This window comes from Homo sapiens, chromosome 16 (assembly GCF_000001405.40).
Source record: "Homo sapiens chromosome 16, GRCh38.p14 Primary Assembly".
Lineage (NCBI taxonomy): Eukaryota > Metazoa > Chordata > Mammalia > Primates > Hominidae > Homo > Homo sapiens.
The window spans coordinates 4,370,877-4,390,238 of record NC_000016.10 but is presented as its reverse complement, the minus strand read 5'-3'; the positions used below and the strand labels follow the sequence as shown (position 1 = coordinate 4,390,238).

The 19,362-nt window shown below is 63.0% G+C and overlaps 3 protein-coding genes across 6 annotated transcripts in view, besides 6 other annotated features; 2 read left to right on the top strand and 1 right to left on the bottom strand.

Moving 5' to 3' along the window:
• The window catches only part of CORO7-PAM16 (CORO7-PAM16 readthrough), a 76,346-nt gene that overhangs the window by 26,358 nt on the left and 30,626 nt on the right, over positions 1-19,362 (top strand). The window contains exons 8-9 of the mRNA NM_001201479.2: positions 1,608-1,694; positions 2,171-2,253. Of these exons, the coding sequence (NP_001188408.1) occupies positions 1,608-1,694; positions 2,171-2,253 (170 nt within the window). The remainder of the gene's footprint in view (positions 1-1,607; positions 1,695-2,170; positions 2,254-19,362) is intronic.
• Positions 1-19,362, top strand: part of CORO7 (coronin 7) — a 62,055-nt gene that overhangs the window by 26,358 nt on the left and 16,335 nt on the right. For all 4 annotated transcript variants that reach the window (NM_001201473.2, NM_001201472.2, NM_024535.5 and 1 more), the window contains 2 exons: positions 1,608-1,694; positions 2,171-2,253. In NM_001201473.2, the coding sequence (NP_001188402.1) occupies positions 1,608-1,694; positions 2,171-2,253 (170 nt within the window). The remainder of the gene's footprint in view (positions 1-1,607; positions 1,695-2,170; positions 2,254-19,362) is intronic.
• Positions 5,971-6,812: an enhancer, noted in NCBI's record as "H3K27ac-H3K4me1 hESC enhancer chr16:4433428-4434269 (GRCh37/hg19 assembly coordinates)". NCBI's record gives its function as "activates a minimal SCP1, AML or CMV promoter by ChIP-STARR-seq in naive H9 embryonic stem cells {active_cell/tissue: H9 hESC(naive)}" and the evidence as "EXISTENCE:reporter gene assay evidence [ECO:0000049][PMID:30033119]".
• VASN (vasorin) lies at positions 6,701-18,391 on the bottom strand. The gene is made up of 2 exons (NM_138440.3): positions 18,246-18,391; positions 6,701-9,370 (listed from the first exon to the last, which is right to left on the bottom strand). The coding sequence occupies exon 2, from the start codon at positions 9,359-9,361 to the stop codon at positions 7,340-7,342; it is 2,022 nt and encodes a 673-aa protein (NP_612449.2). The 5' UTR covers positions 9,362-9,370; positions 18,246-18,391; the 3' UTR covers positions 6,701-7,339.
• Positions 10,800-11,581: an enhancer, noted in NCBI's record as "H3K27ac-H3K4me1 hESC enhancer chr16:4428659-4429440 (GRCh37/hg19 assembly coordinates)". NCBI's record gives its function as "activates a minimal SCP1, AML or CMV promoter by ChIP-STARR-seq in naive H9 embryonic stem cells {active_cell/tissue: H9 hESC(naive)}" and the evidence as "EXISTENCE:reporter gene assay evidence [ECO:0000049][PMID:30033119]".
• Positions 13,142-13,921: an enhancer, noted in NCBI's record as "H3K27ac-H3K4me1 hESC enhancer chr16:4426319-4427098 (GRCh37/hg19 assembly coordinates)". NCBI's record gives its function as "activates a minimal SCP1, AML or CMV promoter by ChIP-STARR-seq in primed H9 embryonic stem cells {active_cell/tissue: H9 hESC(primed)}" and the evidence as "EXISTENCE:reporter gene assay evidence [ECO:0000049][PMID:30033119]".
• Positions 13,922-14,703: an enhancer, noted in NCBI's record as "H3K27ac-H3K4me1 hESC enhancer chr16:4425537-4426318 (GRCh37/hg19 assembly coordinates)". NCBI's record gives its function as "activates a minimal SCP1, AML or CMV promoter by ChIP-STARR-seq in primed H9 embryonic stem cells {active_cell/tissue: H9 hESC(primed)}" and the evidence as "EXISTENCE:reporter gene assay evidence [ECO:0000049][PMID:30033119]".
• Positions 14,797-15,576: an enhancer, noted in NCBI's record as "H3K27ac-H3K4me1 hESC enhancer chr16:4424664-4425443 (GRCh37/hg19 assembly coordinates)". NCBI's record gives its function as "activates a minimal SCP1, AML or CMV promoter by ChIP-STARR-seq in naive H9 embryonic stem cells {active_cell/tissue: H9 hESC(naive)}" and the evidence as "EXISTENCE:reporter gene assay evidence [ECO:0000049][PMID:30033119]".
• Positions 18,184-19,009: an enhancer, noted in NCBI's record as "H3K4me1 hESC enhancer chr16:4421231-4422056 (GRCh37/hg19 assembly coordinates)". NCBI's record gives its function as "activates a minimal SCP1, AML or CMV promoter by ChIP-STARR-seq in naive H9 embryonic stem cells {active_cell/tissue: H9 hESC(naive)}" and the evidence as "EXISTENCE:reporter gene assay evidence [ECO:0000049][PMID:30033119]".

Sequence of the window (19,362 nt, the reverse complement as noted above, 5' to 3'; positions counted from 1 at the left end):
CTGACCCACCAAGGGAGGTGGCCAGGCTGGGGCTCTCCTGGGTCCACCTCCAGAGCTTCCTCCCCTAACACCGTGCGGCTCCCCCATGGCATGCATAGTCACAGGGAATGACACACTGATTTCTCTTTGGCCTACATCTACCTCCCCGATGTGTTTATTCCACGGGCACAGGGACTTTCCCCATTTTATTCACCATGTCATCTCGAATAGTGTGTGGCTCAAATACCCATATGACGAGAGAACAGATGAGTGAGGGGCACTGCTTCCCCCCAGCACCTGCCCTCTATCTGAGAACCATCCGGCCCCACTGCCAGCTCCTAGCACAGTTCTGGCCCCTGGGAGGCCTTGTGTGTTTCTTGAATGAATGAGTGACTTTTGGACAAGCTAAGAGCCACCTGGTGGGCTGCACACACGCAGATATTTGCACAACAAACACCAACGAGAGGGCAGGAGCCTGAATGACACTGTGACCCTCTCCGGGTGTTGAGGGCAGGGCTGGCCAATGGCTCGACCCTTGTCCTGACCCGATATCCCCTCTTACGTGGAGAGAGGGCAGTGGGGCCTTGGTTCTCAGGCTCCAGCCCCAACTTCCTGTGCCGGCCACAGCCTGGTGGGAAGGGAACAGTGAGAAAAGCCCCTCGAAGGACGGGACCTGGAGCCGTTTCCGATGGTCTCCCACGCTGGAGTCAGCCTCCACGGGCTGGGGAGGGGGCCCCAGGCCAGCTCCTCGCAGGCTGCTTCCCTCCCTCATTCATTCCCAAGGAGATCGTGGGAAGTTCGGAGGAAGCTGGCCATGGTTTGGGGTGAGCTATTTTTGGTAACAGGGTCCTTCGTCTCAGGCTCCAGGGGCCAGGGTGACTGGGAGGAGCTGTTTGCATTTCCTCTGGCCCCCTCAGCTCCCCACTGCCAGGGCCCAGGAGGACAGGGCCCCACCCACCATGTGAGCTTCCCTCTCCTCCCAGGGGCCGGGAGCCTTCCTGCTGGCAGCTCCAGCACCTCGGGAGGGCCAGGAGAGGCACTACTTGGCGCTCTCTGGACGTTGCCCAGAGGTGGGTCCCAGGCCCTGCCTCTTGCCTGGGGCAGCCACAGTGATCCTCGAAATCCCCCAGTTTACACGGTGCTTTGCCACAAGCCCTGCCCTTCCACATGGTGACAGCCCTGGGAAGCGGGTGGCACCGCATCGTGAGCCCCTTACACAAGCGAGAGAAATGAGGCATTGACAGAGTGTGACATCCCCAGGATCACACAGCTCTTAGGGGCAAGAAAGTGCCAGTGCCTTTAGCCCCTGGCGCAGCAGGGAAGGGGCCTGGAGCTGGGGAGTGAGGCAGCCCTCTCCTTGGTAGGAGGGACACTCGGGAGGAGCAGCCAGGTTGGCCTCTGGGTGCAGAGCTGCCCTCAACTGGGGCGGAGGCGGGGCTGATCCCCGGGGTGCTTCGGAGACCACCCTTGGTCCCAGTGGGGACGTGGAGAAGGACCCAGCCCTTCCCACCCTCTGTGAGGCTTTCAGGCAGGTGGGCAGCAGAAGTTCCCCAGCTCAGGCCCATTCCAGGGGGCCCCGCCCACCAGCAGGGCCCTGGGGGCTCAGGTCCACCTCTTGCCTCCTGCAGAGCACGCAGGCCCATGAGAACAGCAGGGATAGCCGGCTGGCATGGATGGGCACCTGGGAGCACCTTGTGTCTACTGGATTCAACCAGGTAGGGGGTTCCTCCTGGAGGAGCAGGGCACGGCCAGGTGGGGACATGTCCAGCCCTTTGGGCGGGGACGAAACCAATGGGAGGCGGGGGACTGAGGGCCAGTTCCAGGCCTGTCCATATACGGCCTGGCTGTGCTGCCGGGTCTCAGAGCCTCAGGGGACTGACGGCTGCTGAAAACTGGCAGATTCCATTTGTAATAGCTCAGCCTGACCCCAGGAGCCATAGTGGCCCTACAGGGACCCGAGAACACAGAGGGAACCGCCCCTCATCCTTTGTCACCTAAGGGTTCTTAAAGGGGCAGAACATGAAAACCCAGATTCTCTTTCCCTGGGGTGACTCCCACCCCCACTCCAAGCCCTGCTCTGGGGCAGGTGCCCCGTGTCAGGCTGCACCCTCAGGCGCTGGTTTCCCTGGGAGCCCCCCGGGTGGGGCTGAGGGACAGGCCCCTCTGAGCCCCTCTCTCGCCCTCCCTGCAGATGCGTGAGCGCGAAGTGAAGCTGTGGGACACGCGGTTCTTCTCCAGCGCCCTGGCCTCCCTCACCTTGGACACCTCGCTTGGGTAGGAGCTGCGGCACGCAGGTGGGCTGGGGGGCTGATGACCCAAGGCGCCGCAGGTGAGGGCACCTGATCCGGCCTGTCAGTGAGGCGGGCTGATCTCCGGGGTGTTCTGGGGTACCTGATCTGGGCTGCAAGGCCTTGCAACAGACACCTGGCCCTGTACCCCCGGAGCTTCCAGATGTCACGAGCAGCAGGTGCTCAGGTGCCCCTCTGGCCCCTGGTAGCAGAGTGGGCCCTTGGTCACCAGAGGTTTCATGGCTGGGGGTTGACACAGGTATGCTTGGCATTCAGGGAGAGGGTGTGATCCAGAAGTGCAAGAATACGCTTCATTTTTCTGTGGATGTTCTGGCAGGGCTGAGGCCCAGGGAGGCTCCAGGCTATGATAGGAGGGTGGACGTGGGCATTGTTGGACAGCCTGGCAGGGTGGGGGTGGGGGTGGAGGTGGAGGTGGAGGTGGAGGTGGGCCTTGGCTTATGCGGCCCACTGAGGTTTATGCGGCCTACTCCACACCAGCCACATGGCTGTCCTGTTCTATCCTGAGGTATGTCCCCAGGTGGGGCTGGTGCCCAGGCAGCCTGGGGGGCTCCAGGTGCACCTCATCCTTCCATCTGCCCCCAGAAGTGTGTGGAGAGGGCTTTTGGCAGTGCCTGGCGGGGTCCTGGCCAGGCACAGTCAGCTGTGTGCCGAGATGGCCTTGGCCCACTGCGGCTCAGGAGCCAGACACCAGGAGGCCCAGGGCAAGCATTTATGAGTGACTCATCTGTTCAGACCACCCACAACACAGCTGGGGAGACTGAGGCTGGGGGGGGTGTTCAGAGACGTAGCCAGGCAGGGCCGGGGTGGAGAGACAGGGACTCCATCCGCCTTCTGAAACTTCAACCGTGACTTATAAGGGCCTTGCTGGAATCTTCACAGGCAGGGGGATCCGAGAATGTCAGAGCCAGGAAAGGGGTGGTACTTGGCAAGCTTATTCATTCTTCCATTGCATAACTGAGGAAACTGAGTCACAGGCAACAGTGACCTGTCCAGGCTCTGGGAGCAGCAAGGGTATGTGTCTGGGGGTAAGGAAGGCTGCGGGATCTTCCGGGGAGTCCCCAGAAGAGCTCCCACCTGAGTACCAGCGAGAGCTCCTGCCAAGGGCTTCCCCGGGCTGAGAGCCGCCCAGAGGAGGGGTAGGGGTCAGGGTGACAGTGACGCCCTTTCCCACCCTGTCACACCCAGGGAGGGGCTGAGAAGCTGGCAAGGCCCATTTTACAGATGAGGGAGGCAAAGGTGAGCAAGATTCGGCACCTTCCCTGAAGCCATATGGAGGGTAAGAGGCAGAGTCAGGGCTGCCCTCAGCCTCCTGCCTGCTCTGGGCATTGGAGATTCAGGGAGGAGTCAGTGGGACCCGCCCCGCCTTGAGGAGTCGGAGCTCCCGGGCCTTCAGACTCCACGTCTAGGATCTGGCCCCATGTCCCCCATCCCAGGCCCGGAGCTGCCTGGCATCTTGTCTTCTAGACCTTTCTAGGTCAGACAGCCCCTTCCCTGCAGGGCCCCCAGTGGAGGCATTTGTGTGAAGGGACCTGGCACCAGTCACTTCCACCCACCACTTCCTGCCTTCCAGGCTCTGCCCCCAGTGACAGGGTCCCCATCCCCTGAAAGCGTCTCCTGCCCGGCCCCAGTGTGGCCTCTGGAGGAGTTAATGATGCCCAGACCTCACGGTGCCACTGGCCAAGGCTGACCCTGTAATTACCACAGTTAAGAATAGCCTCGAAGGACCAGTGAGGACTGGAATTTCTCAAATCACTCCCAGATGGGTGGCCAGGCTAGGGTCCTCTCCCCTCTGCCCCCGAGCCCTGGCCCCTGCTCTGCCAGCCCCCATGAAGCTGGTGGATGCCAAGGATGTGTGCCAGCCCCCCAGCTGTTCTGAGAGGTGGCAGGTCCCCTGCACCCCCAGGCGTCCTGGAAGCTGGAGCCCCCCACTAACTCCCTGGGGTGCCGGGGCCTCTGAGCAAATCTAGGCTGAGCATGGAAAGTCTGGAGTGTCATCTGTGGGCACGGCTAATGGGGAGGTTGGCAACTGCATCCACTCCACCACCCTCGAGTTCTTCTGTTTTACAGATTTTCCATCTTGGCTTGGGCAGAACAGTGTGTGCCCTTATGAGAGCTAGAGGAGGCCAGGGTTCGTGCACACACCCCGTCCCCTCCTCATCCTCACCCAGGGGCCTCCGCTGTGGTCCCACCTATGCCCTTCCCCTGACATTTGTGGAGTATCTAAGGGGAAGCCAGCCACAGTGAGAGGAGCAGGGGCTGGGAGCCAGGCCAGCCTCGAACACCAAGGTCCTGTCTGTGCTCAGGCAGCCTCCACGGAGGGCTGCCCAGCACTTTGTGTGCTTGGTACCATGCTTGGCGCAGGGTGGAGGTGGGGGGATAACGAGAGGGACTGGCAGCCTGCACTGAAGGAACAGCTCATGCTTTGGTCTTGGAGATGCAGAGATACACCTGTCTTGGGTGCCACGCTTCTGGGTGTGAATTGAGCGGGGATGAGTGTGTGAATGCCTGTGAGGGGGCTGGGTGAACTGTATCACCCCCTACCCCCATAGAAGTAGGGTGTATTGCTTCTGTAGCTCACAGTGGCCCTAAGCCCTCCCGCGTGGCCGGCAGCCCCACCCGTGGCTGGGGAGCAGGTGCTGGGGTCCTGTCTCCACTTACTGTGAGCATGTTGTCTTCCCTCCCTGTGGCCACTCCTTTTCAATAGACGAGGTCGCCGGGCATGAAACAAGAGCATGTGTCACCCACATGGCCCAGGGCCTGCTGCAGTCAGCACCTGGTGATGGGGGCTCGCACACCCCCACGTCTGCCCCTGGTCCCTGGCCTAGAGTCGGGGGGCTTGTCCCGGGTCGAGGCTGCATCTCAGCTTGGTCGCCCCCTGGCTGGGTTCTCCCCTTCCCCGAAGCCCTGATCTGATGGCACACTCCAGACACTGTTCCAGGGAAGGCTTCCTTTTTTTGGGCCCTGCCACCCCCCCGCCACTGCCCCCTGCCACCATCCCACTCGGCCAGGTTTGCTTTGCAGTGAAAACATTTCTTCAGCAGCCGCCGTGTTCAGCAGCAGCCTCAGGCCCACAAAGGCCCCTTTGACGATGCAGCCACGGGCCGGGGGAGGCAGGCCTGGCCGCAGCCACTCCCCTAATGGGACCCAGGCCTACAGGAAATCCACCTGGGCTGCCGCCGCTGCCTCAGGAAGAAGGGGCCCCACCCAGGCCCACTGCCACCACCCACTGCCCGCCATGACCCACGGCCCGCCTCCTCCCTCCTCGTGCCAGAGCCCTCAGCAGCCGCTAATTGAATCCAGAGCCTCGCGTGGCTGGGCCTGACTCGGCACTGACATCAACACCCGCGCCACGGGGCCTGCTCCCTGGGTCTGGCTGGGCTGACTCTGTCCCACCAGGGGTGAGCCTGAGTGCTGGGGGCCGGGGCCATGACCTGTGGGACAGTGGCATGGGGTCTGCAGGAGGCTCACTCCAGCATGTTCTGGGTGCCCCTGCAGCGGCAGCCCAGTGGGTCCCCTCCCCTCCATCCCACTGAGGGTAACAGGAAAAGGTGCTGTGTGTCCATCACTGTCCCCAAGCCCCCTGCACCCAGTCCAGGCCACAGCTGCACTCAGCATCACTGCCCCCACCTCAGCATGCAGCCTTCCTGGAAAATGCTCCCACTTCTAGGGTTTCCAGAAAGCCTGGGCACATCCCTAATGCAGGGGCTGAGGGGGCATCCCAAGGCCACCAATCCTGGCACCGTCTGCAAGCCAACCTGGGCCCTTTGTTCCTGTCCCCCAGCTTGTCCTGCTCACTGGGGCTCGGCCCCTTTCTCCCCACCCATGGGGTCCCTGCCTTTGATGATTCACACTTCCCCTCCCACCAGAGCCCTCGCTGTAGCCAGGGGCAGGAGGCAGGGAGCAGGATTTCCTGCTGCGCCCATGGTGGGCAGTGGAGTGGCATGGGGCTGGGGCCATGCAAACCGCTTGGCTCTCCCGGGACGCTGTAGAGAAGGTCCCGGAGGCCACTTGCTCCCGGGACCATCCATGAGGCCTGGAATGAGAGAGCCCAGGGCCCTGTCCCTGGAGGAAAGCAGGCAGTGAACTGCCCATCAGACCAACCCACAAGGGACTCACCTGGCCCCACATGTGCCACAAGCCTCTCCCAGCCGCACATGGGCCAGAGCCCCTGCTGGCAGAAGACAGGGCCTGGGGAAGGTGAGGCTCCCTGACCCGTTCTTGTCCGAGGCCAGAGGCAGCCCTGCTCCCACCTGGGCCCAGCCTCACCTCATTCAAGCCTAGGGTGGATGGCACCCAGGTCAGGACACCTGGGAGGGCTGCCCAAGCCCAGGGGCTGCTGAGGGGCCCTGGCTCCCCAGAGCGAGGGCCACTCCTTCTTCATCTCCCTCCACCCAGCCCTTCTACCCTGGGGCTGAGCCCAAGAAACACACTTCATCTTTTATTTTTTCTTACAAAAGGCCTTCATATCATCGTTTGTCTTACAAAAACCAAAGTCCTTGTCTCTGAGTTTGAAAAACATCTTCCCAGAATAAATGGGAAAGGATCTCTTATAAATATATATATATTTTAAAAAAGCAAAACATGTTCCTAAAGCATCTTCCTTTCCAGTTTCTTTTGTTCCTTCGCTTCCTGGGGCCAAGACTAGAGTCACACAGCCGCCTACCCGCTCTCCCTCTGCTCTTTCCGGGAGCTTCCTTCACTGGCCCCCAGGGTCCGCCTGGAGTGGGAGAGCCCAGCAGGGCCCAGGCATGCGTTACCAGCACATGGCAGGGCCCGCCGTGCCCAGGGACTGCACGTTGCGGAGGGCAGGGCGGACACTGTCCTCATAGGCACTCGGTTCTGGGGACGTTAGGGCTCGTCAGCTGGGCCACAGCATCTCACAGATGAGGAGACCGAGGTCCAGAGGGAACAGGGCCCAGCTGTGGTCACACAGCCCTGTCTGCACACATCCCCGAGGTTGGGACTGAGAACTTACGTGGTGTGGCAGCAGGAGGGGGCTGGCCATCTCACTGGCTGAGAGCCCGGCCCCAGCTGCCCTGTCTCTCTCTGGCTTAGATGTAGGGCTTTGCGTGGAGGGGTGACTGGAGGCCAGGCCCTGGGAAGCCCATGAGTGGCACCTCACACTCAGACCCGCTGGGCAGGGCCTCTCCACCGCCCTCTGTTGCCTTCGGGCCTGGCTCCAAGGGGACCTTCACTCCCTCCAGTTCCAGGGGCCCAGCCCCTGGCCCCACCTGCCCTTTGTCCTGAGCCGCTGCTGCCATGGCCCGCCCCCGCCGCACACAGTAGGCTGCCCCCACCGCAGCCAGCGCGGCCAGGAGCACCGCGGCCAGGGCGGGCGCAATGAGGAGCGGCAGGTTGCCCTCGCGGGCCTGGGTGACTGGGGCGTGGTTGGAGTGGACGGCTGGGGGTGTATGGGCCTCCCCGCAGGCCTCCTCGCCCTCCGGCACCCGCCCGGGCCCCAAAGGCATGACACAGACGGAGTAAGTGGCGTTGGGCCGCAGCTGGGTGACCGTGTACTCAGCGAGCGAGGCAGGCAGTCGCAGCGTCACCAGCCGCTTATCAGGGCCCGATAGGTTGCGATAGGTGAGACGGAGGCTCCTGAGCTGCACGGAGCTCCCCTGGAGGTAGCGCTGCAGCCCCACGCGCAGGGAGGTGGGGCTCACCGGCTCGATGCCCAGGGTCAGGGACCGTGGTGGCCTCGGCGTGACTGGTGTAGGGCTGGGCCGTGTCCCCTGCCCCATCTGGCTCTCACAGTACAGGCCCGTGAAGCCTTCGGGGCACAAGCACGCCAGGTGGTGCCGTGTCCCCAGGTGGCATGTGCCCCCATTGAGGCAGGTGGACGGTGGGCAGTCCTGGGGCTGGGGGACAGGCCCTACAGTCGGTGGGGCAGTGGAGGGCGGGCTGGGGGCCTCAGTGGCCGGCTCTGTGGGGCTAAGCCAGGTAGGAGCCAAGCTAGAAGACAAGGCTGTGGGCTCCCGCACCACGGGCCTCGTGGTGGGCACTGTGGCTGTGGTGGTGGTGGCTGGGCAGCCAAAGTCGGCGTAGTCAAGCTCCAGGAGCAGCCGGCCAGCGTTCTTGGGCGGGAAGTGGCAGCGCGTCTCCTCAGGGCTGGCCAGTGTGACGTGGCTCTCGCGCACCCAGGGGCCAAACCAGCTCAGGGGGCACACGCAGTTGAAGGGGTTGCGGGCAGCTGCCAGCAGCCGCAGGCGGGGGAAGAGGCCCGAGAGGTCGCCAGGCAGGGCCTGCAGGCTTAGGTTGCTCACATCCAGCTCCTGCAGGGCAGCCAGGCCGGCCAGGTCCTCGGGCCGCAGCTGGGCAATGCGGGTGTTGCCGGCCAGCCGCAGGCGCGTCAGGCCCCGGAGGCCTCGGATCACAGGTGGCACTCGCTCCAGCTGGTTGTCGGACACATCCAGGTCGTGGAGGTTGCGCAAGCGGCTGAAGAGCCCCTCGTCCAGCTGCTGCAGCCCCAGACCAGCCAGCCGCAGCGCCTCCACGTTGGCAGTGTCCAGGATGCCGGGCTCCAGGGCCAGGAGGCTGTTGTGGCTGAGGTCCAGCAGCAGCAGGCGGGGCAGGCGCAGCGGGGGCAGTGCCCGCAGCTCGTTGTCCTGCAGCTTGAGCTCCAGGAGGCGGTCGAGCGTGTCGAAGGCACCAGGCTGGATGTGGCGGATGCGGTTCTTGCCCAGGTAGAGGCGCTCGAGGCGCCGCAGGCCACGGAAGGTCTCATTGGTGATTTCATGCAGCCTGTTGGCTGTCAGGTCCAGGTTGCTGAGGTTGGCGAGTGGCTGGAAGACCCCGCTGGGCAGGCTGGCGATCTGGTTCTGTGACAGGTCCAGGAGCTGCAGGCCCGGCAGGCCGGCAAAGCTGCCTGCGTCGAGCATGGTGATGCCGTTCTCAAAGACGTACAGCCCCACCGTGTCGGGTGGCACGTCTCGGGGCACCGTGGTCCCCTGGCGGGCAGTGCAGAAGACTGTCTGTGGCTGGCTGCACTGGCAGCCGGATGGGCAGCCCTGCACCCCAGGCCCCAGGGCCAGTAGCAGGAGCAGCGGCAGCAGCAGAGGGACCCTGGAGCACATCTTCTGTCCCTGGGAGCAGAGAGGAGGCAGAGACAGAAGACTGTGAGTCAGGGGCCTAGAAGGCAGACACGCCAGGAAGAGCCAGAGGGAATTCACTGCTTCTGCCCCCAAATGCAAGAGAACCCAATGGTTATGAGTCAGGTCGCCAGTGCCCCGACCCAGGTTCTGTCCCAGCCCCGTCACTCCCTCACTGTGTGACCTTGTCAATGCACACAGAGGTCATCATGGGGCATGACATCCACTGAACGTGCAGTGACCATGCACTGCTTCCTCCTGAACCCCAGGCCCTCCTGCCTCTGCCTAGGTAGGTTCCCCCATCCCCTGCCTCAGAGATGGACCAGGAAGGAGAGAATGGTGGGACTTGGAGCGGCAGCTCCTCCCTACAGGGTCTGGAAGAGGGGGCAGGCAGGCAGCTGGGTGGGTGTGTAAGCAGAGAAGCTGGCTGCCTTGGCCGCCGGCTCCTGCTGCCACGCTCCGTGTCCCGCCCTCCTTGGAGGAGGGAATGCAGCGGGAAGACTTCACATGGAAACTATGGGATCCATGTTTTTCCACTTGGGCAGTCAGACCTGCTTAGGCTGGGGGCTGCGGGCCGCCAGGAAGTGGCCGGCGGGAAGGTTCCTGGAGGAGGGGCAGAGGCCACAGGCATTGGCAGGTGTCCCCTGTGAGGGAGGGAGGCGGGGAGCTGAGGCTGGTGACAGAGCTGGAGCTGGGGGGCCACAGGGCTCAGGTGGGGACACTGGCTACATGGCAGCCCCAGGGGCAGTGCCAGGCCTGGGAAAACTCTGCAGAGTCATTCATCTACTTTTTTTTTTTTTTTTTTGAGACGGAGTCTTGCTCTGTCACCCAAGCTGGAGTGCAGTGGCGAGATCTCGGCTCACTGCAACCTCTGCCTCCCAGGTTCAAGCAATTCTCCTGCCTCAGCCTCCCATGTAGCTGGGACTACAGGTGCCAGCCACCATGCATGGCTAATTTTTGTATTTTTTTTTTTTTTTTTTTTAGTAGAGACAGGGTTTCACCATGTTGGTCAGGTTGGTCTGGAACTCCTGACCTCAGGTGATCTGCCCGCCTCAGCCTCCAAAAGTGCTGGGATTACAGGCATGAGCCACCGTGCCCGGCTTCGTCTACTGTTTCTTGGGGTCTGCCCTGAGCTGGGCACCAAGAAAGATGAGCAGCAGCCATCCCCTTGGCAGTGATGGTGCAAGTCCTTCCCATGTGCCAGCGAAGTGGGAAGGACGAAGGAACACTAAGTGTTTACCGTCACCTCAGGTAGCCCCCCAGCAGCCACGTCAGGGCAGACAGAAGAAAGCAGGGCTCATGGAGGTGCAGGGACTCGCTGCCATTGCGGTGCCAGCAAGTCCGAGCTAGAGCCCAGGTGTGCAGCAGCCACCTGTGAAGGGTGCGTGCCCTCCAGATGGCCCTGGGGGCGGGGGCTCCCACCAGCCGCTCCAGGCTCCAGATCTTAGCTGCACTGCCCAAGTCAGGCAGGTCTGTGGCTGGCCCCCATCACCTAGACTCCTGGGGAGACCGCTGGGGCCGTCCCCAGGAAGAGCCCTCCCCACTTTGGCACCCCTAGAAGTCCCTGAGCCTCATACGGGGTGCCAGCCCATCCCCAGGAAGCATCCTGCCCAGTGGCGCCTGCAGCTCACACAAGAGCCCTTTGTGCTGGAGTCCGGGCTTCCCCTTCCCCCACACAGGCTGTGCAGGTAGTCCAGGGAACACGACCCCGACCCAGCCTGCACTCCGCCCCAGGCTGGGGGGACCCGTCCATAGGGCTCCCTCTCCCCCAGGTACGTGGGTTCCTGGAATGTGAGGAGGAGCAGGTGGTCCCAGGACAGATTAGACAAGTCACTGGTGAGGTGACCACTGGGGTCTGCGGGTAGCTCGAGGTGAAGGAAGAAGCCCTTGTCCCCGGGGTTGGGCCCACGCAGGCCCTGCCCACGTGTAGTATCGCACTGCCAGAGTCGTCTCCCCTAGGAGCTACCGACCCTGAGCCCCTAGCCAGTTAGCGACAACAAGCACCCTTCAGAGGCCAGCAGGCTAAGCCTCCCCAACCTAGCGGTGTCCCCCTTGCTGTCGTGTGCCCCCTCACCTCCCTAAGGTGAGACCCAGCCTGCCTTTGCCATAGGTGTCTCCAGGCCCACTTAGCTCAGGTCTGCTGAGTGAACAGCCCAGGAGGGCCTGGCACTGAGCACTGGAAGAAGTTAGCACCCCAAACCCCAGGCACGCGTCCCTGGCCCGGCCAGCCCACCCCAGGGGGGCTCGTGTCTGATGACCTAAGGCCCTGGGGCCACACCCCTAGCCTTCTCTTCCCCCATGGGACCCGCTCCACCCTCACTGACTCAGAGGACGGCGGGTGCGGCCTGGCCTCCAGATGTGGGCTGTGAGTGACCCCCACCCACCCCATGTCCATATGGGGGGTGAGGCCACCTCTGCCTGAATTAGCCCTCCCAGCAGGGCCAGACCAGGGTCAGGAAGGATGCAGCCAGGTTCCAGAGTGGGAGGGGATCCTCCACGTGGCCAGCCTGGCCAGCCTGGCCACCACTGTGGCCGCAGCTCCCCTTGGGCCTCGTTTAAGGTCACAGTTAAGAGCGCTCACTCCAGGCAGGCGGCCCTGTGCTCAGAGGTGTCCAAGCTGTGAGGCCGCAGACAGTGACTTTGCTCTCACACCTCGGTTTCTTCATCTGAGTATCTGGGACACTTCAGGGCTGCAGTGGGGGATGCATGTGGAGTCCTCAGCCCTGCAAGGCCAGGTGTGCAGGCCAGCTCTTAGGGGCACGTGCTGGGGGGTGCTCTTCACCCTGCACTGGGGAGGGGGACCAGCCATAGCTCTGGGCTCCGTAATCTGTTGGGTCTTTAATCAGCAAGGTTGTGAAGGGAGAGGGGATGCTGTGGGTCCATCTGGCCACAGGGTGGCTTTCCGGCTGACAGGTAGTGAGCTGTGGAATGTGCGTTCCTGTTAGCAGGACAGGGGTCTAGGTCAGGACTGTGGGCTGGGGTCCTGGGCTGACCATCCAGCAGGCGGCAGCCAGCCTGCTTCCCAGCCCCGTAAAATGTGCGGTGAGCTCTTTTGCCTGAGCCCCAATTCTACCCCCACATCAAAGGGAGGAGGGAGGAGGCAGCGCTGGAGCTTTGGAAAACCCCAGAGTTTGTAAGCTACAGGCTGGCAGCTCTGAGGGCACCGCCAGGGACTCCTGGCACTGAGAACCCATCAGCCAGCCCCGAGAGGAACCCAGCGAGGGAAGGCTGACTGTGGAGGGGACGGTGGCAGGGGACAGAGGCCAGAGTTCCTTTCTCAACTGTGGGCCTCAGTTTCTCACCTCTGGAGTTGGTGCAAGCAGCCCTGCCCCCTCACCCTCTGGAGTTGTAGTTTTCTGTTGTTCTGTTTGTTTTCAAATGGGGAAGTTCTTTTAACAAGTTCTGGGAGCTGTCCCGCCCGCCTGGGGTCTGGGCGTGTGCTTGGTGTGTGCGTGGGGCTGGGGGCTGTCTACAGGTCACACGGTGGTTGCCGCCGCCCACCCACCCTCCCACCCGGTGATCCCAGGACCTGGGCTTTGATATTTGATCACTAGTCAGGCAGGGAGGTGAGACCTTTTCCTCTGCCTGGTGCAGGAGGTGTTCCGGAGGCAGCCCTGGGATTCCTGGGATTCGGGGACGTCGGGGGGTGGGAAGATGACGCAAGGGTCTGGGGCCTCCGTCCTCCACCCAAGTTCCTCAGCCTTGCTGAGTGCTGCTGCCGGCCTTGCTCCCTCCCTGGCACAGTAACTGGCATAGGGCGACAGGGTCCACAGCCCGGCCACGACCCCTACCTCAGCCCCCATTGTGCAGTGGGCGCTGCTCGTGGTGCTCGTGGTGCCTGTGTCTGGGGTGACTTGGTCTGTGCTCGGAGCACTTGCCAAGTGGTCGGTAAACATTCACTGCGGAGGGCGTCACTCATAAACGCAGAACTCTGCCTGCCCCCTGGGCGTGGGTACTACTAAGGGAGAGGGTTTCAGGCCAGCTTTACACAGATCAGACATCCCCACACCAAGGCTGCCCTTCACCCTGGGGGCTGGGGAGCGGGGGTGGGGTATCTCTGGTTCTGGAAGGGGGCACGTGGTGGGTGAGCTGTCCCTTGGCGGCCCCTTCAGCACAGGACTTCAGGGAGGGGCCCTATGAGTAAGGAGGACAAGGCACTCGTCATCTCAACTCCCAGGGGGACGCCCACCCACCTCTGGGGTACACCACACACGCCCAGGGTCAGGCGGGGACGGGCCAGGGGATAGCATGGCTGGGGTGGGACCCAGGCATCTGGTGACCACATCAGCCCCTGGCGAGAACATCTCACTGATTCTGGGGCAGGCGGTGTGCCTGCTGAGTAGGGGACAGGCTTGGACAGACAGATAGACAGTCTGAGGCCAGTACGCCCCTCCTGTGCCGTATGCTTCAGCGTGGGTGCAGGACAGGCGCTGCAGGTCTGACCCTGAGACTCCGGGCCCCCGCTCCTCATGCTGGCCCGCCAAGGCTCTGTGTGGCCGGTCAGGCCTGGCAGCAGCCCAGCCCCGGGAGTCTGCCAACCCCTCCAGGCAGGCGGGACTGTGCCGGCGGCCAGGACGGCTGGCTCCAGTTTCGCTGACGTGTCCGAGGAGGCTCAGGGCCCGGCTGGGTCCGCCCCGTCTCCCCTTCCTTGGGACACAGCAGTCCCAAGGGCAGGGCAGAGAGGTCAGGGGTCGTGGGCCCTCACAGAAGGGGCAGAGAGGGCTGGGCCTCGAGTTCCTCAGGGACTGCGGCAGGTAGACCCTCCCTATAGGCGCGGGGACCCCTGGCTGGTGATTGAGCGGGGGTCCCCATGGGTGTCAGCCTCTTTCTTACTCCATCCACCACCCCAAGCTGGCGCTCTTCATTCCACAGATAATGCCACAGCCAGGAGCTCAGTCAGGCACTCACACGCTTTGTGACCTCATCCAAGCAAGCTCCCCTCTCTGGGCTTCCGTCTCCCACCTGTGACGCCAGGGCTTTGCCCGCCGGGCTGCACATCAGAATCATCCAGGAAGCTTTCTAAAAAAAACCTCCATGCTGGGGCCCCACCCCCAGGCCAATTAAACAAGAAATTCTGCCGGGCATGGTGGCTCACGCCTGTAATCCCAGTACTTTGGGAGGCCGAGGTAGGACGATCACGAGGTCAGGAGATCGAGACCATCCTGGCTAACATGGTGAAACCCCGTCTCTACTAAAAATACAAAAAAATTAGCCAGGCCTGGTGGCAGGCGCCTGTAGTCCCAGCTACTTGGGAGGCTGAGGCAGGAGAATGGTGTGAACCTGGGAGGCGGAGCTTGCAGTGAGCCAATATTGCGCCACTGCACTCCAGCCTGGGTGACAGAGCAATACTCCATCTCAAAAACAAAAAGAATGTCTAGGAGTGAGACCCAGGCAGAGCTGTATTTTGGAGAAGCTCCTTGAGCGAGTCCTCCGCACAGCCAGGGTTCAGAACACCAGGACAGAGGGTTGCAAAGGGGACAGTCAGGATGTCAGCTCGTCTTCCTGTGCAGGGAGGAGGCTCTGTATCCTGGAGCAGGTGTGGACCAGCTGGCAGGGCTGGGAGAGGGGCAGGCACAGGGTCTTCCCTCCTCCCTCCACCCAGGAGGCTGGCCCGGCCCCAGGTGGGTGCCTTCAGTAGCACCGTGGGTGACTTGGCAGCTGCCAGACCTGTTAGCCCAGGGCAGGGAGACCAGTGACTAAGGCCAGGCCCCAGCTCAAGTGAGCCCCTGGGGCGGTGGGACGTGCCATCGTAGTCACAAGAGGTGCAACCTGTCAGGGAGGACACCTGTGGCCCTGGGAGCTGTGCAGTGGCTGCAGCCCAACTAGAAATGGGCCAGTCCAGATGCCACTTTCGGCACGCGGCAGGTGTGATGCCACCAGGGCTGGGCCCTCACACGGGGCCTCCTCACTGCCCTGTCCCCACCCAGGGGCAAGCACCCATCTAGTAAGGCCCTAACCTGCAATTAACCCTGAACTTGCCAGAAGAACACCTTAGTCACCAAGGAAGGCCGCCAGCCCTAAGCTTCCTGGGCCTGGGGGTCTGAGAAGGAAGTGGCCCTGGAAGGGGTCTTGCCCTTCTCAAGCTCCCCATGCCGAACCCCCCACAATCACCCAGGGTTCTTGGCCAACCCGTGGCAGAAATGGCGCCCCTGGGGTCTGTGAGCTGATCAATGGGCAGGCGGGATGGATTCAGGGAGGCAGAACAGGACCTGGCCACTGAACCACAACCCTGCCCCCGCACTGCTCTCAATGCCCAGCCGGGCTCGGGGCCCAGGGCCAGCAGGGGCCCCAGCGGCCGCCCCAGCCCCTTCCCGGTGTAGGCCGGCTCCCTCCTCCCTCCTTAATTAAATCTCTCAGGCAGCCCCTGAGGAATGTCAGAACCTTATTGCATTCCCCACGAAGAGTCTGGTGGGGGCCGTCCCGAACCCTGAAGAATAACTGGCCCCTCGCCTGCCCCCACCCCCTGCCCAAAACCGAGGTGGCCTGAGGGAGCCTCCTCCAGCCTCCTCACACCCAGGGAGGCTGGAATGAGGAAAAGCGGGGGAGGCCGGCGGCCCAGCGCGGAGGGAAAGCGATCCGGCTGACTCTGGAATGTGGAAACCGATAAAAGGAAGGAGGCTGAGGCCCTGCCCCTCCTGGTGCAAGCAGGCTCCCCCAAACACCCCCACCCACCCCCAAATACACAGCCCTGCTCCAGTCACGCGCACACAGACACGCCCACGCCAGACACACGCCCACTGGGCAGTGCTCCTGCAGACACACACACACACACACACGTGCACCCTCCCCCTTCTCCAAGAACTCACGCAAATTCCACAGCAGTGAGGGGAGCTGGTTTTCTTGGCAGCACAGAGCCTTGGGCTCCCCAGCCCAGGGAGGGGACTCTAAGGGCAGCTGATGGGGGGTCCAGGAGAGGTCACTAACAGAGTTAGGTGGCCTTGCTGCCCTCCCATGAGCTCAGGGCTGGCCAGTGGTCAGGGATAGCCATCCCTGTGGGCAGCCTCCCCTCTACACACCTCTGCTCACTGGCAGGACTGGCTGTCTGGCCTGCTGAGGTGGGAGCTCCCTCCTGGGCTCAGCAGGGCCCTGCTTTCTTGTTCCCAGAGGCTGCCCAGTGTTGTGTTGGGACCCACTTATAAGCCCAGGCAAGGACTTAATTTTCTGTACTTGGGACTTGTCCCAGCTCCCCCGGGGCTGTCAGTGGGGGTGACAGTAATGGGAGCTAGGAGCCGCGGACCCATCTCCTGCCCGGGGCATCTCCCTTGCCATCTCCCTGGCCCCTGGGCTGCGTGCCAGAGGGGCCTTCCTCGGGTAAGCACAGGTCTGGGCAGTGTCTGAGAGGCTCCTTATGCTGAATCCCATTCTCCCATTCCCAGAATATGGAGAGAGAGGTGCCATCTGGACAAATGCCCTGGGACCCCAGCCCCCAGCCCCATCCCCATCTGACCCTCCGGACCCACAGGTAGCAGGACAGCTGTTCCAACGTGCAGGAGACAGGGGCGGGGTGGGGACAGGCAGTGCCCGGCCCCCAGGCTGGCATGTGTGTGCGCATCCTCCCTCCCCAGGCCCAGGGGAGGCTAGATAATGGTCTGGAGGGGATCCAGCTGGGCTGCTCATCACCAGAGCCTCTTCCTGCCTCTGACACTCTGTTTACAGAAGCTCCAGGCCAACTCCCCTGGGAGAAGAGAGTAAACTCAGGGGACTGCTCCCCATCCCCCACCCGCCTGCCCCAGCTCTGTTGGGTTTTTGTCAATAGCTGGGCCCATCCTGGACTTTGCTGCCCCCTGGACTGGCCCTAATGGACCCTGCTTGGAAGGTCCCAGCCCGGCCACCCCTCTATGCCCTCAACACCCAAAGTACAGTCTAGTGTGAAGGGACCTTGGAGATTTTATCCAATCCCCAGCCCTGGAGGCTCTCAGCCTGGGGAAGGGGGCTCTAGGTCCCGCTGCCTCTCTCCAGAGCCTCACCTGTCCTTGGTGCAAAAGGCAGGCATGGGGACACCTAGACCCCCAGGACCTCTTCCTTCCACCCTGCACACTCCACCCCTGGGCCACAGCAGGGGAGGCGGTCAGTGACCCTGGTGTGGCAATCGTTAACGAATGGGGGAGAGGCAGAATGGTTGGCACCAATCGGCTGGCCTGCCAGTGACCACAGGGGACCTCAGCAGTCCTCAGGCCCCAGCACTGCCAGCCCAGGGACACAAAGGACTAGGCTGGCTCCAGGCCACTGGGTTTGCAGCCCAAGCAAAGCCCCTTCCCTGGCAGAGGCAGAGACCCGGCACCCTGCCTGATACCCGAAGCTCTAAGGGCCCTGGCCAGTACAGGTCCATCCCCCACCTGGAGGGATGGGCATCGGACGCCCACCAGCCACTCCCCGCCCCTCCCTAGGGCTGCATATCTGTAGCCCCCAGCTGTGCTTTGAGTGACAAGGGTCCAGAGGACCCCGGGCAGCCCTTCTGCACAGCAGCACCTACTGCCGGACCCCAGGAGGGAAAAGTGACCCAAGCCTGTGGCTTGGCTATCCCCCTCAAAGGGGTTTGATTCATAAAACTGGTCATGCCGGAGGCCCAGCCGTGGGAGGAGGAAGCATGGGACGGGGTGTTTATTTTGTCTGCTTGCAGCCTCGCGGGCTCACCGCACACTCAGGCGCGCACCCTGGCCGGCCGCGGGGCTGTCGGCGCCCCAGGACGGCGGGGGAGGGAGCGTACAGGGCCTGCCCGCCGGGCGGCCCAGGTGACCGTGTGGGGCTGGGGCCGCGGTCCCGCCCGAGAGTGCGTGTGTGCGCGCGGCGGCGGTCCCCGCGCGTGTGCACAGCCTGGCCGTGGCGCCCCCTTCCCCGCCCGCAGCCCCCCAGCCCCACAGAAACTCACCGGGAGGCGGCGGCGGCGCAGGGAGCCGGGCGGGGCAGGCCGCGGCCTCAGTCTTTCCTGGCGGGTCGGGCCCGAGGGGGTCCTGGGTCCCGAAGCAACTGCGTTCGAGTCCGCGTCCACCCGCCCCGGGCTCGGGCTCCGGAGTCGGCTCGCTGGAGGCAGGTCGCGCCTTAAGAGTCCCGGGGGGCGGGCCCGCCGCGGCAGGGGCGGGGCCTCTCCCCATTGGCCGGGGCGGAGCCGCGTGGAGACACGCCCCTTCCCCACCGAGGGGCTCGTGGGCCGGGTTGCCCTGGCCCTCACCCTGCGGCCACCTGACCTGCGCGGGGAGACCTTGCCCGTCGTGGGTTTGCCGGATGACACTGGGCAGGTTTCTGCTTTTTGTGTAAAAAGCGAGAGACTATTTAGGAATCCTAAGCGTCACAGCCCAGATGCCTATGAGGCACCAGGCAGGTGACAAATGCCAGAAGTCCACCCCAGGGCCTCTGCGGCCCTGGAGAGGCAGGATGGCGGGAGTGGGGCTGGTAAGGGCTGAGTCCTCATGACCAGCCCGGGCCAGCTAGAGCTTTGGATTTTTGAAGAGAAACTGGAAATCCAGATTTTTAGGTGAAATCTCTCAATGTGTTATTGTTGGTAGCTAATCCCAATTTCAAAAAACTCCTGGCAGCCCACACAAAGCCCTTTCAAGAGCCTCCTAAGTATAAACTCCAATGCCAAATCTGAGCTCAGGGTCCTCTTAGCCACGACAGCCTTAAGAGTTGTGAGCAGCCCTGGACTCTCTTCCCCACCATATTATGAGATGAAGGGGCTGTGTCAGGGAGGGCAGTGGTGGTCTGCCCACGGCCCCACAGTTACTGGCAGCTTCAAGCCTGAGCTGTGGAGGCATAGGGGTGGTCACCGTCGGTGGGTGGGGCCTGGGCTGCAGTTGACAGTGGCCCTTGATTGGGCAGGAGGGGCGGGTGCCAGGGGCCGGACTAGTCCAGAAAAATCCCCTGCCTTGGAGGATTCCAGGAAAACACTCTGCCCTCCTCCCCCTCCGCGTTTGTGGTCAGTCATGCCTCAGAGCCTTTGGGGGCCCAGCTCAGCTCCTGACTTCCGGAGAGCCTTGGGACACCCACAC